Source organism: Homo sapiens, chromosome X (assembly GCF_000001405.40).
Source record: "Homo sapiens chromosome X, GRCh38.p14 Primary Assembly".
Classification (NCBI taxonomy): domain Eukaryota; kingdom Metazoa; phylum Chordata; class Mammalia; order Primates; family Hominidae; genus Homo; species Homo sapiens.
In genome coordinates, this window is record NC_000023.11 from 132,183,848 (window position 1) to 132,199,407 (window position 15,560).

The following is a 15,560-nucleotide window of genomic DNA, read 5'->3' on the forward strand; positions in this document are numbered from 1 at the left end:
TGAATCCTCTGAATTTGTGTAAGAATTTTGTGTAAGAACCCTCTGAATTTGTGTAAGAATTTTCCATATATGCATGTGTGTACAATTATATGGATAGACAATTCATCATAGTTATCACATTTGCAAAAAATCCAGGATGTAAAAAAGAGTTTGAGAACAATTGCATTCAACGGCACTGACAAATATTAAAAACAAGCCAGAACAATAATTAGTCTCATTGTAAATTCATGTTATTCAAGCTTGGCTGGTTTCTTAATGTTATTTAGTGATTTTTTTTTTAACTATTTACTCCTGTTAAAAGTTCAGGTGTTGGAGATATTTGAGGATAAAAATATAGGTTTTTTTGAAACAGTGTCTCACTCTGTCACCCAAGCTGGAGTGCAGTAGCACAATCATGTCACAGTGCAACCTCTGCCTCTTGGGCACAAGCAATCCTCCCACCTTGGCCTCCCAAAGGGCTAGAGTTAGAGGCATGAACCACTGTGCCACCCACACAGTTATATTGAGATTGATTCTTTGACTTATAGATGTTTCTCAAGGTATGCTGAATATTCAGCTAGAGAGGGTAGAGCAGAAAAAGCATGGAATCAACTGACCCAAATTCTGGTTCCATATCTGCCTAAAACTCAGGGTGTTTGTTTGGGCAAGTCATCTAACTACCTCTAAGCCTCACTTTCCTCATCTGCAAATAGAGATAATAATACCTCACAAGTTACTTAAAGGTCAAAATTGTAACCAATATTTATGAAAGCATTTTGTGCATATCTAAACTTCAAACCACATGCTGAAAATGAGAAACGTCTTAATTTTCGATGGTGTGGTTTGAGGAACTGCTAGACTGTGTTACCTGGGCAGTTTTTAGAATCTCCTAATGCACTGCCCACCTCACTCATCAAAATCAAAATTTCCCCTTTTACAACAGGTTAAGAAGGGTCACCAGAGTGAAGGCCTGGAAGCAATAGAAAGTGGACTGAAAATTCATAACTAGCAATTGATTCAATGTGTTTTGGTGTAAACACACTCCTGGAAGTATTTTCGATCTTTAGCTGTAAATCTCTAGGCACTAAGCTGGGCCAAACAGGGAGGGGTTCTCCTTGGGTAGAATGATGAAACCCAGGATGTGTCTTTTTGACCCTCTCATGCCCTCCCCACCCCCACACTCCATCCCTGCCCTCAGTGTCCCCTACTGACAGAATCAGAATATATCTCACCCTCCAGAAATGTGGGAATGTGGAATGGCCTGAGGGCAGAAAGAGGCAGAGAGAAGGCAAGCAATCACTCCTGCCAATTTCCCCTCTCTTTACCTCTTGCCCCAAAGAAGTCATGTTTTTACCCGGTTCTCTCTCTGTCTGTCAACTTCCTTTCTGCCAGGGAGCTTTGCAGTTTCTTAAGGAACTTTTGAAGACGCGTAATCTTTCTAGGCCCAAATGAAGGAATTTTTCATGGTGTTATTCTAGGTAATGTGACAAGCAGTATGTGGAAGCCGGGCTTTCTCAGCACATTGAAAATTCAGCCTGATATTTGCTGTCTTTCTTTCCTGCTTCAACGATGAGTCTTGGTGACAGAAAAGAGAGCTACAAGTCTGGAAAGTCCTAGCCAAACATTCTCTTCCCAGAACTATGTCACCAAGTTAGTTGGCTTAGCTAATGAATAAATACTGAAGCACCACTGGCTTCTTATTGAGTCCTTGCAGTTGATAATTATTCAAAAATAGCTAATATTAGATAATGCCATGTATTAAATGTCATTGAGATTATGGTGTATTGCAGTGGTGCTCAATGCAGGGTGCACAATGGAGTCTACTTGGAGGGTAAATTATTGGAATCAAGTGACACCCAACCCCAGCAAGTATGATTCATTTGGTCAGGGTTGGGGGATAAGTGAGGTGGGCAGTGCATTAGTAGATTTTAAAAACTGCCCAGGTAAAACAGTCTAGCAGTTCCTCAAACTATTAAATATAGAGTTATCATATGACCTGGCAATGCCAGTCCTAGGTATATGCCCAAGAGAAGTGAAAACATATGTTCACACACAATATTGTACACAAGTGGTTTATAGCAATGTTATTCAAAGCAACCAAAAGACAAAAGCAGCCCAAAATCTATTAATGGCTGAATGGATAAGCAAAATATGTACATATATACAAAGGAGTATTATTTGGCAATAAAAAGGAATGAAATACTGATACATACTGCAACTTGGATGAACCTTGAAGACATTATGCTAAATGAAAGAAGCCACTCACAAAAAGTCTGGATATTATATGATTCCATTAATATGAAAGCCCAGAATAGGGAAATCCACAGGGACAGCCAGGAGATTAGTGTTTGCTTAGGGCTGGCTGTGGAGGATGGCGGATATCAGCGTGATAGCTAGTGGGTATGATATTCCTTTTTGAGGTGATGAAACATTCTAAAATTAACTGCAGTGAAGAATGCACCTAACTGTGAATATATTAAAGCCATTGAATTGTACTCCCAAATTGTACGGTGTGGATTATATCCCAATAGAGTTGATTTAAAGAGAGAAAAAAATACTCCCCAGATGATTTTAATGTGCAGCTGAGTTTGAGAACCACTGATGTAGTTGAAAGAACATGCACTTGAAGTTAGACAGATTGGAACAAAATGACTGTGTCATTAGGTGACCCAGCTGTGGCTTTCTGAGCCTCATTTTCCTCATCTGGAGAATGAGGATAATAATTACTGTCTCATAGGCTTTAGAAAGAGGATTTGGTGTGGAAAACAAATGAAAGTATGTGTAGAGTCTGACATTTAGCAAGCCGGCACTCTATTAAAGGAAGCCATTGCCATTATTGTTTTTCTTTTCTGCCTGAAGGCTCACAGGGCCAGCATTAGAAATATTCGTCCTCACTGCACTGACCGGGGAGAAGGTGATCTGGAGTGGAGCGGACCAGGCCAAATGCATTACCTGAATGCAGACTCAATAAATGTCCTCTGTGCTCATAACAATTTTTTTGGCCCCATCACAAAGCCCACAATATTCCCATGAGTAAGACTGCAGCATCATTGTTCACTAAGGAAATGTAATTGTTTTTTTTGTTTTGTTTTGTTTTTTTGCCATTAAAACTTATGAAGACCAAACACGGGTCCACAGTGGGATCTTACTGGTATACCCTTGCCTTTCATAACATATTTGTCATCAAATTCTATCAAATCTACTGCTATAATATGCCTCTCAAATCCAGCCACTTGTATCCATTTCCACTGCCACTACCCTAGACCAGGCTTCTAGCATCTCTTACCTAATAATTCTGATCCTCTTTAACTGCCTCTACCCTTTTTCCCCTCCAAATCCTTCTCCGCACTGCAGCCAGAGTGATTTTTGTAAAATGCCAATTTGATCAAATCTCTAATTTAAAGACCTTCAAATGGCTTAAAATCTTTCAATGATCCCCTATAGCTCTAAAAGTCCAACTTCTGTCTAACCCTCCAGGCTTATCTCTTACTACTCTCTGTCTCCTAAACATCTTTTGAAATTGGCCATTTCTTTGTTGCTCTACACCGTGAGTCCAATCTGCCACCATACTCAATCAGTACTCTTGAACAGCTTGCAAACAGTTTTTCCTAGCTTCAGCCATGCCCCCTTTGAATCCACCTTCCACATAGCAGCCAGGGTGACTCCTTTGCTTAAACCCTTTTTATGCCTCCCAATTTGCCTAAAAACAAAGATCAAGCTTCTTATCAGGGCTATAAGACCTTCCATGATTTGACCCTGCTGACTTATCCCCCTTCATGCTTACTTACTCAGTTTTCCATACACACTGCTTCTTCCTATCCATGGACCTTTGCAAACATTCTTGCTTTCTGGAATTTCCTGCCTCTGGCCTTGCACGTCCAAGTCTACTACATCCTTCAAGGCCTAGTTCAAATAATACTGTATTCAGGAACTCTCCCCGAACTCCCCCGAGGAACAGTTCTTCCTGGCTTTCAGACGTCTCATTTTGCATTATTTTTGTCTCATCACTTTCTCATTTAGTTTCTCATCATGTCTAGTATGGATCTCTCTGCCTCAAATCTAAGATTGTTGAGGTTTAACCACAAATTTTGTTTGAGCCACAAATAACTGAGTCTTAAACAGAAAAAAAAAAAACCAGAGGATCTGGGCAATACCTGAAGGTATTGATTGGGGGGATGTGGCTATGCAAGTGTGAGGGGTAACAAGCTTAAATATATAAACTCCTTGGATTACTAAAATAGATTAGAATCATCCCTGCTAGGTGGTCCAATGTGTGAATTTAGATCGGGGGAGTTAAATCAAAATGAGAGAAGTTGTCGTAGAGTTGAAAAATAAAATCAAGATCCTTGGCAAGGAACTAGATCTAACTAGAAACGTGTTAGAAAGATGTGCTCAGCGTATACCTCTGAATGTGCATATGTATACATAAATGTGCACATGCATACTTTTTTATAGATATGAGTGATTACATATATGCATGAGTTTAAGTGTGTGAATGCATGGCTCTGCACAGACATGTATGTATCTGGGTATGCTTATGAATATTTCAAATGTGGTTTTATATGTGTGTATAGTTGCAGAGTAGGGAGGGTCTTAGCTTGAGCCTCAGCTCTGTCAATTGTTGACATTCACACATGCCTGGGCATGGCTGAGAAACTGGTGGGGCAGGCCCGTCAGAAATATATTTGTATTGAAGGACTAAGGATCCTCCTGGGAGATAATTTATCCTGGAAAAAGAAAGAGGTATACAAACTTGGCCCAGTAAGAAAGCTTTAGTAACTAGAGGGGAGGGACATTTCTGAGTAGAGCACAGTGGCTGTCACTCGAGTTTGTCTCCAGACTTAGCACCACAGATTCAATGTCTGAGCCTTATGGGTATGTAAGAAGTTGTAGTCAATAAAAACAAAAACAGCTGTTTTACAAAAATATTTTGTCATTATGCACATGCATGACTGCTTTGGGACTGTACTAATTCATTCATTTTTTTCAGTCAACAAATATATTTATCTAACACCTGCTCTGTACCAGATACTGTGCTAAAAACGCTGGGGATGAAGCAGCAAACAAAGTGACAGAGCTTACATTTGAGTGTAGCCCCCAAAAGAGAGGCATTTTCTGCCACATCCTCCCAAATATCATATACTTGGACATCTATAGGCAGAGTTGCAGCTAGTCTATACTGTATCTGTACAAATTAGAAAATGGCACCTGCTCTAGGCAGCCCCAAATCTTGGTGAGGGAACAATGCACTCTCTGAGCAGGTGAATTAGAAATAGGTATGCATCTTCTCCTCTAGGACAGATTCAACTCCACAGGCATACTGCATGACAGGGGAACACGGGATGAATTTGACAACTCCTTGTCCTCTCAGAGAGACATCTCTTGTGCAGTGTGCAATCTGTACAACAGTCCATGGTGACCATGGCTGCAAGTCTCCAAGGTGTCAACAGTTGCTCTGGGCACAAGATAGTGATGCCCAGCACTAATTTTGGTGGTATTTTAGAAAAGCTACTACTAAGGGAAACTATTATTACTCCATAGAAGTAACAGCAGTTTCTACTGTGAATTACAGAAGCCAGCAGAGGCAGCTGATATCCAGTTGATGTGGTACCATGCCTTCCAAATGCAGCATTACACAGCGCAAGTGTCAGCTCTGCCTAGAAAATATAGCAATGCTTAGATCACATGAGAGCACTTAGAGGATATAAGCTGGAGCACAATAATGGGAGAAAGAAAACACAAAATCCATGTACTTATTCTGACACTACTCATTCATGACCATGTGTGAGAACCCCCCTAAAAACACCCAGAAAAAATTTATTGTGGTACAAACCCTTCGGGGGATAAAGGAGAAGGCAAGAACTAGAAAATGTGTGTGTGTGTGTGTGCGTGTGTGTGTGTGTGTGAGAGAGAGAGAGCGCGAGAGAGCGCATGCATGTGTGCAAATATGTGTATGCACAGGCAGCCCAGGGGCTTCTCTTTGCATTTCACATAAAGGATAGAGTCAAAATGTGTAGCTATAGCTTTCCAGCCTCTCCAAGAAGAGGGGTAGTTTTCCCTTGCGTAAAATAAAATCCATTTGTTCAGCTATGCAGAAAGAGTTTTCTTCAATATTGGTTGAGCGATTGAATTTAGATCCACAGTACTCAAAGTACTATTGATAGCAATATTAGGATATTTATATCTAGAATCTTAAGGCTTTGTTTAGATTTATGTGAGTTATTTGTATATTAAGAATATCAACCATTTAAAGAACTGCTGTTAAATATTCACAGTTTTTCCTAATGTGCTGCTTTTTATTAACAGACTGTTTTCTGATTTTAAAAGCAATATATGCTAGCCTGAAGAGTATGTAAAATTTACAAAGGAAATAAAAATTAGCCATAGCCCCACCATCTACACACACACACACACACACACACACACACACACACACACACAAATGCTATGTAAATAGTTGTTATACTATATTTTTTATTTTCATTATTTTATTGATATATATATGAATATATATCTGAATATATATATGAATAGTTTTGATCAGCAGTTGGTTGATTCCACAGATGCAGAACCCATGAATATGGAATACATGGTTATAGAGGGCTGATTGTATATACACATATGCAATCCATATCCACGGATTATGCTGCTATATATAATTTTGTGTTCTCATTTTCACTTAACCATATATATATACACATACATGTATGTATATATACGTATATATGTATATACGTATATATATGCATATATATATACAATCAGCCCTCCATATCCATGGGTTCCATATCCATGGGTCCTGCATCTGCAGAATCAACCAACCACTAATCAAAACTGTTCCCATAAAAAAACAAGAAAATAATACAAATAAAAACTATAGTATAACAACTATTTACATAGCGTTTGCATTGTGTTAGGTATGATAAGTAATCTAGAGGCAACTTAAACTATATGGGAGGATACGTATAGGTTATATGCAAATACTATACCATTTTATATCAGGGATTTGACCATCACAGATTTTGGTATCCACGGGGGTACTGAAAGCAATCCCCTACAGATACTGGGAGATGTGTGTGTGTGTGTGTGTGTGTGTGTGTCCATTAATATTGTGATGTTTTTCCATGCATACACACACACAAACACACATTAGGATTCTGCTGCTGTATACAATTTTGTGTTCTGATTTTCACTTAACCTTTTATTGAGAACATTTCCCCATGTCATATTGTATATTCTATAAAATATATTTAATAAATGGCTGCATAGTATTTCATTTTATCAATAGGCCATAAAGATTTTCTTTTCCTATTATAAATAACATTTCAATAAACATCCTCAAATATACATGTTTATGAGCATCTTTGCTTAGTTACTATTATATATTATTGGAAGTGGAATTATTCAGTCGAGTTGATGAACATTTAAAAGATTCCAGATACATACCACTAAAGTGTTCTCTATTTAAGGTTAAGCTGATTTACACTCAATGTACAGTCTTAGCAGTAGTGTATAAGTGCTCTTTTTACCCCATGTCTGTTAAATAATGAGGATTATCTTTTTATAAATATCTTTATTAATTTATTCATAATAAAATGTATGTTTTAGTTTCAGATAGTATGGCTGTCTAGGTATTTGGACAGATTTCTGCAGGCAGAAAACAGCTAAAACTGCTGGATAAAGCATATGCATATTATGCTATGTACAGTGTATATATATATACATATATAGTGTATATATGATATGTGTGGAGAAAGAGAATCTTGTTAAAAGTGTCAAAAAGCTAATGAGATGGAAATTACCAGGCATGGATCTAAATGAAGGCAGCAACCCAAAGAAATAAGCCAAGCCCTGAAATTTTTCCCTAAGGACATTTGCCAAAACAGCCTAATTTGAACTTTGCTCTTTTGTGTCTATGTGATTTATCCAGATATGGGGACAGAACATAAAGCTCAGGGCTCTACCAAGATGGGGAAACTAATTAAGAGTCCCTACCACCATAAATCCAGTATCCTAAGGGGTTATGTTCTCAGTGTAAAGGTGAACCAGAAATAAATACATATCCTCAGGAAAATGTAAGGAAAGTTTCTTTGTTGCCTATCACAGCTAGTTGATGGGAGAAGGCGAATAACCATTCCTGGTAAATTATAACCACAATTTAGCTCTTGTGTGGGTTTATTGCCCCACATTTACATTACAAGTGAGAACATGTGGTATTTGGCTTTCTGTTCCTGTATCAATTCACTTATGATAATGGCCTCCAGCTGCATTCATGTTGTTGCAAAGGACTTGACTTCCTTTTTTATGGCTGCATAGTATTCCATATATGTACCACATCTATGAAAATATCTTTGAATCTTGAGGATAAAATACAATTTTCAAACAGTCAGGGACTTTGCCACCAGCAGACATACAATATAAGAAATGATAAAGGATGTATACTACAGGCAGAAGGAATATGATTTTTGATAGAACATTTGAATACCAAGAAAGGTTGATAAGCAAAGAAAATGACAAATATGCAGGGATAAGGAAACTAACTACATAAAACAATAGTATCTTGTGGAGTTTCTTCAAAATAAGAGAAGTTAAGTACACAACAATGAAATAATATTTCACTGTTGTATTATTTGCATATTTTTGTTACCAGTAAGCTTGAACAATTTTTGTATGTAGCCATATATATCTTTTCTATGAAATATTTTCTTTGTCTAATTTTCTCTTGAATTTTTAAGTTTTTCTTTTCAATTTGTATGAGTTTTAAAAGATAGATTAAAGCTATCAATCCCTCATTTATCATATTTGTTACAATATTCTTCCAAGTTTTAAAAATCTAGTACAATCTAAAAATCTTTTGTTATGCCATCCATTGCTTTTAAACTTAAAAAGGTTTTCATTATTAGCAGATCTGACGAACAGTCTTTTTGGGTTTTTTCTATTGTTTTTGTTTAGTTTTTCACATTCCCTTTTTTAGATCCTTCTGGATTCTGTATTAATACATGCTGTGAGATGAAGCTCTAAAGAAGCCATGTTTGCTTGTTTTTGCTTGCTTGCATGATTTCACAAAGACCCTGACTCTGTGATAATGTGCACCTCTCTGGAAAGATGCTTTGAAGACAAAACAGGATAGAGCACATGGTCCCCCACTTCTCTTGCCTGAGATGTATATTCCTTAAAAGATGAATGATCCTAGTCCTTGCCTTTTCAGCACAGAAGATAACATCTGACTGGGTTAGTGATTATGCCTTTGTATTGATAACCATATGTACTTTATTTTTTTTTTTTTGAGATGGAGTCTAGCTCTGTCACCCAGGCTGGAGTGCAGTGGTGCGATCTCGGCTCACTGCAACCTCTGCCTCCTGGGTTCAAACCATTCTTCTGCCTCAGCCTCCCAAGTAGCTGGGACTACATGTGCACACCACCACACCTGGCTAATTATTTGTATTTTTAGTAGAGATGGGGTTTCACCATGTTGGCCAGGCTGGTCTCGAACTCCTGACTTCAAATGATCTGCCTGCCTCAGCCTCCCAAAGTGCTGGGATTACAGGCGTGAGCCACTGTGCCCGGCCCCAGATGTACTCTTATACCCAAACAGTTATATGATTGGAATGTAACTTCTGAGCAAGTTTAATGTGATTTTGCATGTACCAAACCCCTACCACCTATATATAAGCAATAGGCTGAAATACTGTGCAGGAGCACAGTATTTAGGCCTTGGTCTATAGTCCTCCATAAGGCTAAATAAGACTAACTTCATTTAAAAGCTTCATTTTTTTCTTTAGTCAACAATAGTTATCTAATTATCCAAGCACTATTTGTAGTATAATTTCATACTTCCCCACATATGTTAATACCTTCTTATAATGTGTTACATTATATGAACAAGAAATCTTTGGGGGGGTGATCCTTGTGTTTCACTGATCTGTCTGTTCATTCTTACAGTTGTGTCAACCTGTTTTAATTACTATAGCTTTGTACTATATTTTCATGAATGCTAAGGCTAAGTCTTGTGCTTACCATTACTCTTAGTTTTTCAAATAATTCGAAAATCAAGATGAACAGTAAATTGGTTTTCAGAAGTACATTGATTGATATTGAGAGGTGACAGCGTGCTGGCAGCCCTCGCTGGCTCTCGGTGCCTCCTCGGCCTCAGTGCCCACTCTGGCCGTGCTTGAGGAGCCCTTCAGCCCGCCGCTGCACTATGGGAGCCCCTCTCTGGGCTGGCTGAGGTGGGAGCTGGCTCCCTCTGCTTGCAGGGAGGTGTGGAGGGAGAGGCGCAGGTGGGAACCGGGGCTGCTCACGGGCCAGCGCGAGATCCGGGTGGGTGTGGGCTCGGCAGGCCCCACACTCGGAGTGGCTGGCCAGCACTGCCGGCCCCAGGCAGTGAGGGGCTTAGTACCTGGGCCAGCAGCTGTGAAGGGTGCACCAGGTACCCCAGCAGTGCTGGCCCACCGGTGCTGAGCTGGAATTCTCACCAGGCCTCAGCTGCCTCCCCGTGGGGCAGGGCTCGGGACCTGCAGCCCACTGTGCCTGAGCCTCCCCCATGCCGTGGGCTCCTGCGCTGGCCGAAGCCTCCCCGACGAGCACCGCCACCTGCTCTGCGGCGCCCAGTCCCATCGACTGCCCAAGGTCTGAGGAGTGTGGGCACAAGGTGCAGAACTGGCAGGCAGCTCCACCTGCGGCCCCTGTGGGGGATCCACTAGGTGAAGCCAGCTGGGCTCCTGAGTGTAGTGGGGACTTGGAGAACCTTTATGTCTAGCTAAGGGATTGTAAATACACCAATCAGCACTCTGTATCTAGCTCAAGGTTTGTAAATGTACCAATCAGCACTCTGTATCTAGCTAATCTGGTGGGGACTTGGGGAACCTTTATGTCTAGCTAAGGGATTGTAACTACACCAATCAGCACTCTGTGTCTAGCTCAAGGTTTGTAAACACACCAATCAGCACCCTGTGTCTAGCTCAAGGTTTGTAAATGCACCAGTCAGTGCTCTGTGGGGACTTGGAGAACTTTTGTGTCTAGCTCAGGGATTGTAAACACACCAATCAGCACCCTGTCAAAACGGACCAATCAGCTCTCTGTAAAATGGACCAATCAGCAGGATGTGGGTGGGGCCAGATAAGGGACTGAAAGCAGGCTGCCTGAGCCCCCAGTCGCAACCCGCCTGGTTGTCTTCCCCAGTGTGGAAGCTTTGTTCTTTTGCTCTTTGCAATAAATCGTGCTGCTGCTCACTCTTTGTGTCTGCACTGCATTTATGAGCTGTTAACACTCACGGCAAAGATCTGCAGCTTCACTCCTGAGCCAGCGAGACCACAAACCCACCAGCAGGAAGAAACTCCGAATACATCAGAACATCAGAAGGAGCAAACTCCGGACACGTGGCCTTTAAGAACTGTAACACTCACCGCGAGGTGTCCGCGGCTTCATTCTTGAAGTCAGTGAGATCAAGAACCCACCAATTCCGGACACAATATGACCTTGAGGCCATGTAATTCAATGTTAATAGATCATCAAGGAGATATAATACAAGGTAATTAATATGCCTTCACAGAGTGACAGAACCAGAATAAAACATTATATCTAATTTACCAGTCTTCGAATACCCAGAAGAACATGAAACATGGGGCAGACAGAAATGGCCTTTCCTTCCTCATGCTAACTTTTAGGATCATAATAAACTCTAAAAGAAACAAATGTGCTGTTGTGAAGCTAGTACAGTGTACATGATCCTGATCTTAGGTGGAGGAAGGCCCTGAGGTAGCTAAGTACAGAACTGCCCATGTAGAGAGGTCCTGTTTCTGGAGTCAAAGAAGGTCTTTTAGGAGTAGCCTTGTCTTCTTTATGGTATATTTCTAGAATGTCCATCACGGGGTTTCCTAATGAGACACATTTAGAGAACAATGCAGAATAGGATGAAATCCTATGCTAGACAATGTAGATGCATACTATAGAATGACTATCGTCTACAAGGTGGATGATCTCTACACTCAATTTTATAACACTGCTATATATTATTTTCTAACAGTAAATAAATAAACATATCGGAGCCGGAATTATTTGCCAAAGGCAATGCATATATTAGTTTCTAATGCCCCCATGGAAACCTTAATAGGAGGCTGAATCTCTTAACTTTGTTTACATCAATGAAAGGTACTTCAGCACATCCAAATAAAATATGGAAAAATACTCAGTAACAGACTAAGAAGCATCTTGATTTGCTGGAAGGAAGGGAAAGGGAAAGCGGGACTGGAATTTACCCATAAATTTGCAAGGTTTGCAGAAATAAGAGAGCCTGATATTAGCTTCACTTGACTTTGGCTACAGCCCCACTTGAGGCTGATGGAAGAAAACAAGTCTTTATCATCCTATTCCAACCCCCATCTTCAGTCACAGAGCCAGAGGCAGAGAGGACTAGAAATTTGGTGTGGCTGACTTTTCTGCACTGGGTGTGGATTTCGTGTTGATGTAAGTTGGGTGGCTGAAGTCCACGCTGCTTAAATAGAAACGGTGTTTGGGTCTGCTTTAAGAGTGCCTCTCCATGAATGGGCAGAAGACAGAGGCTTGTCCTTGAGATAATTAGGGAAACTACCCACCGCACCTCCCCACCTGTCACATGCAGTTCGCCATGCCCCAAGCTGAAATTACACACCCCCTTCACTCCCAACTACCCCATTAACTTCCTCTTGCAGTACGAAAGGTCTACTGATAGTAGTATCATCTACCCAGCTGAGTTCAGTTCAAAAATCTTTATTGATCATCTATTTTGTGCTGGATACTGAGATAACTAGTAAATTACACATAAACCTTTCTCTTTTAGAGATTACCATATAGAAAAGCAGACAGACAAGCAATTTCAGTGTATGAGTAGGATAGGAGCTAGGCAAGGAAGAGGAAGGAAGTTTCATATGGAGGAAAAACACTAAGCAAAATCTTGAGACTGTATGCAAGAAGCTATGAACTCATGTGATAATCAAAGGGAAAGTGTGAGGATAGAAGCAGTGGAAAACAAAGATGAACAAGTAGTCAGGGGCCAGGTCATTCTAAGAAGTCTGGACCAAGCCTGATAGTGATAATGAGACACTGGGGAGCTTTTGACTGGGGAGAGTCAGGATTATATCGACATTTGTAAAAGATCACTGTGGCTGTTTTGTAAAGAAAAAACTAGACTGGATCAAGAGTGAGAGCGGAACCAACCCAAATGTCCAACAATGATAGTCTGGATTAAGAAAATGTGGCACATATACACCATGGAATACTATGCAGCCATAAAAAAATGATGAGTTCATGTCCTTTGTAGGGACATGGATGAAATTGGAAACCATCATTCTCAGTAAACTATCGCAAGAACAAAAAACCAAACACCGCATATTCTCACTCATAGGTGGGAATTGAACAATGAGATCACATGGACACAGGAAGGGGAATATCACACTCTGGGGACTGTGGTGGGGTGGGGGGAGGGGGGAGGGATAGCATTGGGAGATATACCTAATGCTAGATGACGCGTTAGTGGGTGCAGCGCACCAGCATGGCACATGTATACATATGTAACTAACCTGCACAATGTGCACATGTACCCTAAAACTTAAAGTATAATAAAAAAAAAAAAAGAGTGAGAGCGAAAATACTTATTTAGAATCTAGATTATTTAGGCCTGTCCAGTTACCCAAGCTAGAAATTACTTACTTTATATTTCCCCCTTTTCATCGTAACCAATAATCACATCAAGTTCTCCCAATTCTACTGCCAAAATTCATTTAATCACTCAGTGTTTATTGAACTCTTCTATGCATCCAATGCCATGATAGGTGAAAAATAATTCATTTTTCTCCTAAGAGAGGCTGATTGCCTTGTGGGAGTGGAAAACACGTAAACAGGTAATTTTGAAATAATGTAGTATGTATTTACTGGGTGCTCTCCAAGCTGGAAGTGTAGAGAAAGATTGAGGGGGCGGGGAGGGGAGGGGGGAGAGAGAGAGATTCTCTGTGCAGAGAATGAGAGAGAAATAAGGGATCCATGGAAATGAGGTAAGAGTTATAAGGATGAGTAAGAATTCCCTAAGAGGAGGAAGTTTGGAAGAGGGTATTGCATGTGATGGGAATAGCTCATGCAGAGGCATGGAAACATGATTGAGTAGGGCTTGGTTTAGGAAGCAGCAAGAAGTTTGGAGTCACTGAAACTGGAGCTTAGATTATGAGAGTTAGCATAAAAGGTGAGGTTGGAGAGATAGGCCAAGTTGGAATGTGAAAGCCCTTGTCCGATGAGGTGAATCCTGGAGAGTCATGAGAGATTTTTAAGCTGAAGAATGTGATTGATCAGATTTGGGACTTGAATCCATATCTTAGGCCACCGTAATTTATCACCATCTCTTCATTCTCCCTAATTGTGCCCTATTAAAGCTCTTGCTCTTTCTTATTTATATGATTGCAGTGGTCTCCTTACAGATCTCCCTGCCCCAGGTAAACCCCTCCAAACTATCCTTCACTTTTGTGTCTTTCTAAAACCCCAATCTGCTCCTACCACTCTGCTGCAGCAGGCCAGTGACTCCCCATCATTGCCAGGAGAAATCCTCAAAGGCTCAGTATGGCATGCAAGACCCTCACATTCCAGCCTGTGCTGCTTTCTACCCTCATCTCCCATCACTCTTTCTCGCTCTTATTCTAGCCAGCCCCTCTTGACATCCCTGCTAACTCCAGGTCTCCCAAGCCTGCCAGGCACACTCAGGACTCTATGCCTTTCCTGAGTCTCCTCTCTCAAAGTCTATCTGGAGATGTTCTTAACTGCAAATTGCTCCTTAATCTTCAAGAATCAGCCCACAAGGCAAGTTCCTCTGACCCTGCCTTGACTCCTACAGGAAAAATAAATCCCTTTCCTTCTCTGAGCTCCCTGGCATATGGCACATGCTGATATTAGTGCATACATCACATTGCTTAATAATTATTGCTTAAAAGTCTGTCTCTTAGGCGAGAACATAAGTTCCACCAGAGGATAAGGCCATATCACATTCCTCCTATAAACTCAGCTCATAGCACCGTGCCTGACACATACTTAGAAGCTTGGCAAATGTTAAATAAAGACACTGATCTTTTTGTCCCATTTTTGTCTGGAATCTAGAATCTTTCTCACTAAGCAACTACTTACTGTCCAAGAGAAGTCACTCTTTTTTGGGCTAGGTTTCCATTGCTAGGTCACTGCAATTATTCTCTTTAACCAGTCGGACAGCAAAAGGTCTGTAGCTGAGACATTTTTTGAGTTAGCACGGGCTTCATTCTCCATGCCATAGCTTCCAGAGGGACTCAAGCACCCAACACAGTCTCAGTTTGCAACCAAGCAACATGATAAAGCCCGTGTCTGTCTTTTAAATGTCCACCCCTTCCATTCACCTCTGTATATTTTGGGGCCTAAGCAAAGGACCAAGAACATTCTCAGAGCTATCTTGGGGCATGGCATAATGTCTACACTTCAGCTGAGATTTTTCTAAGGATAGCCACACATATGTCCCAAAGAGGGACTACAAAAAAACAGGGAAAACTATGTCTGCTAGTATCCAGGCTTCCTATGGCTCCCTCTTAAATGGAAGA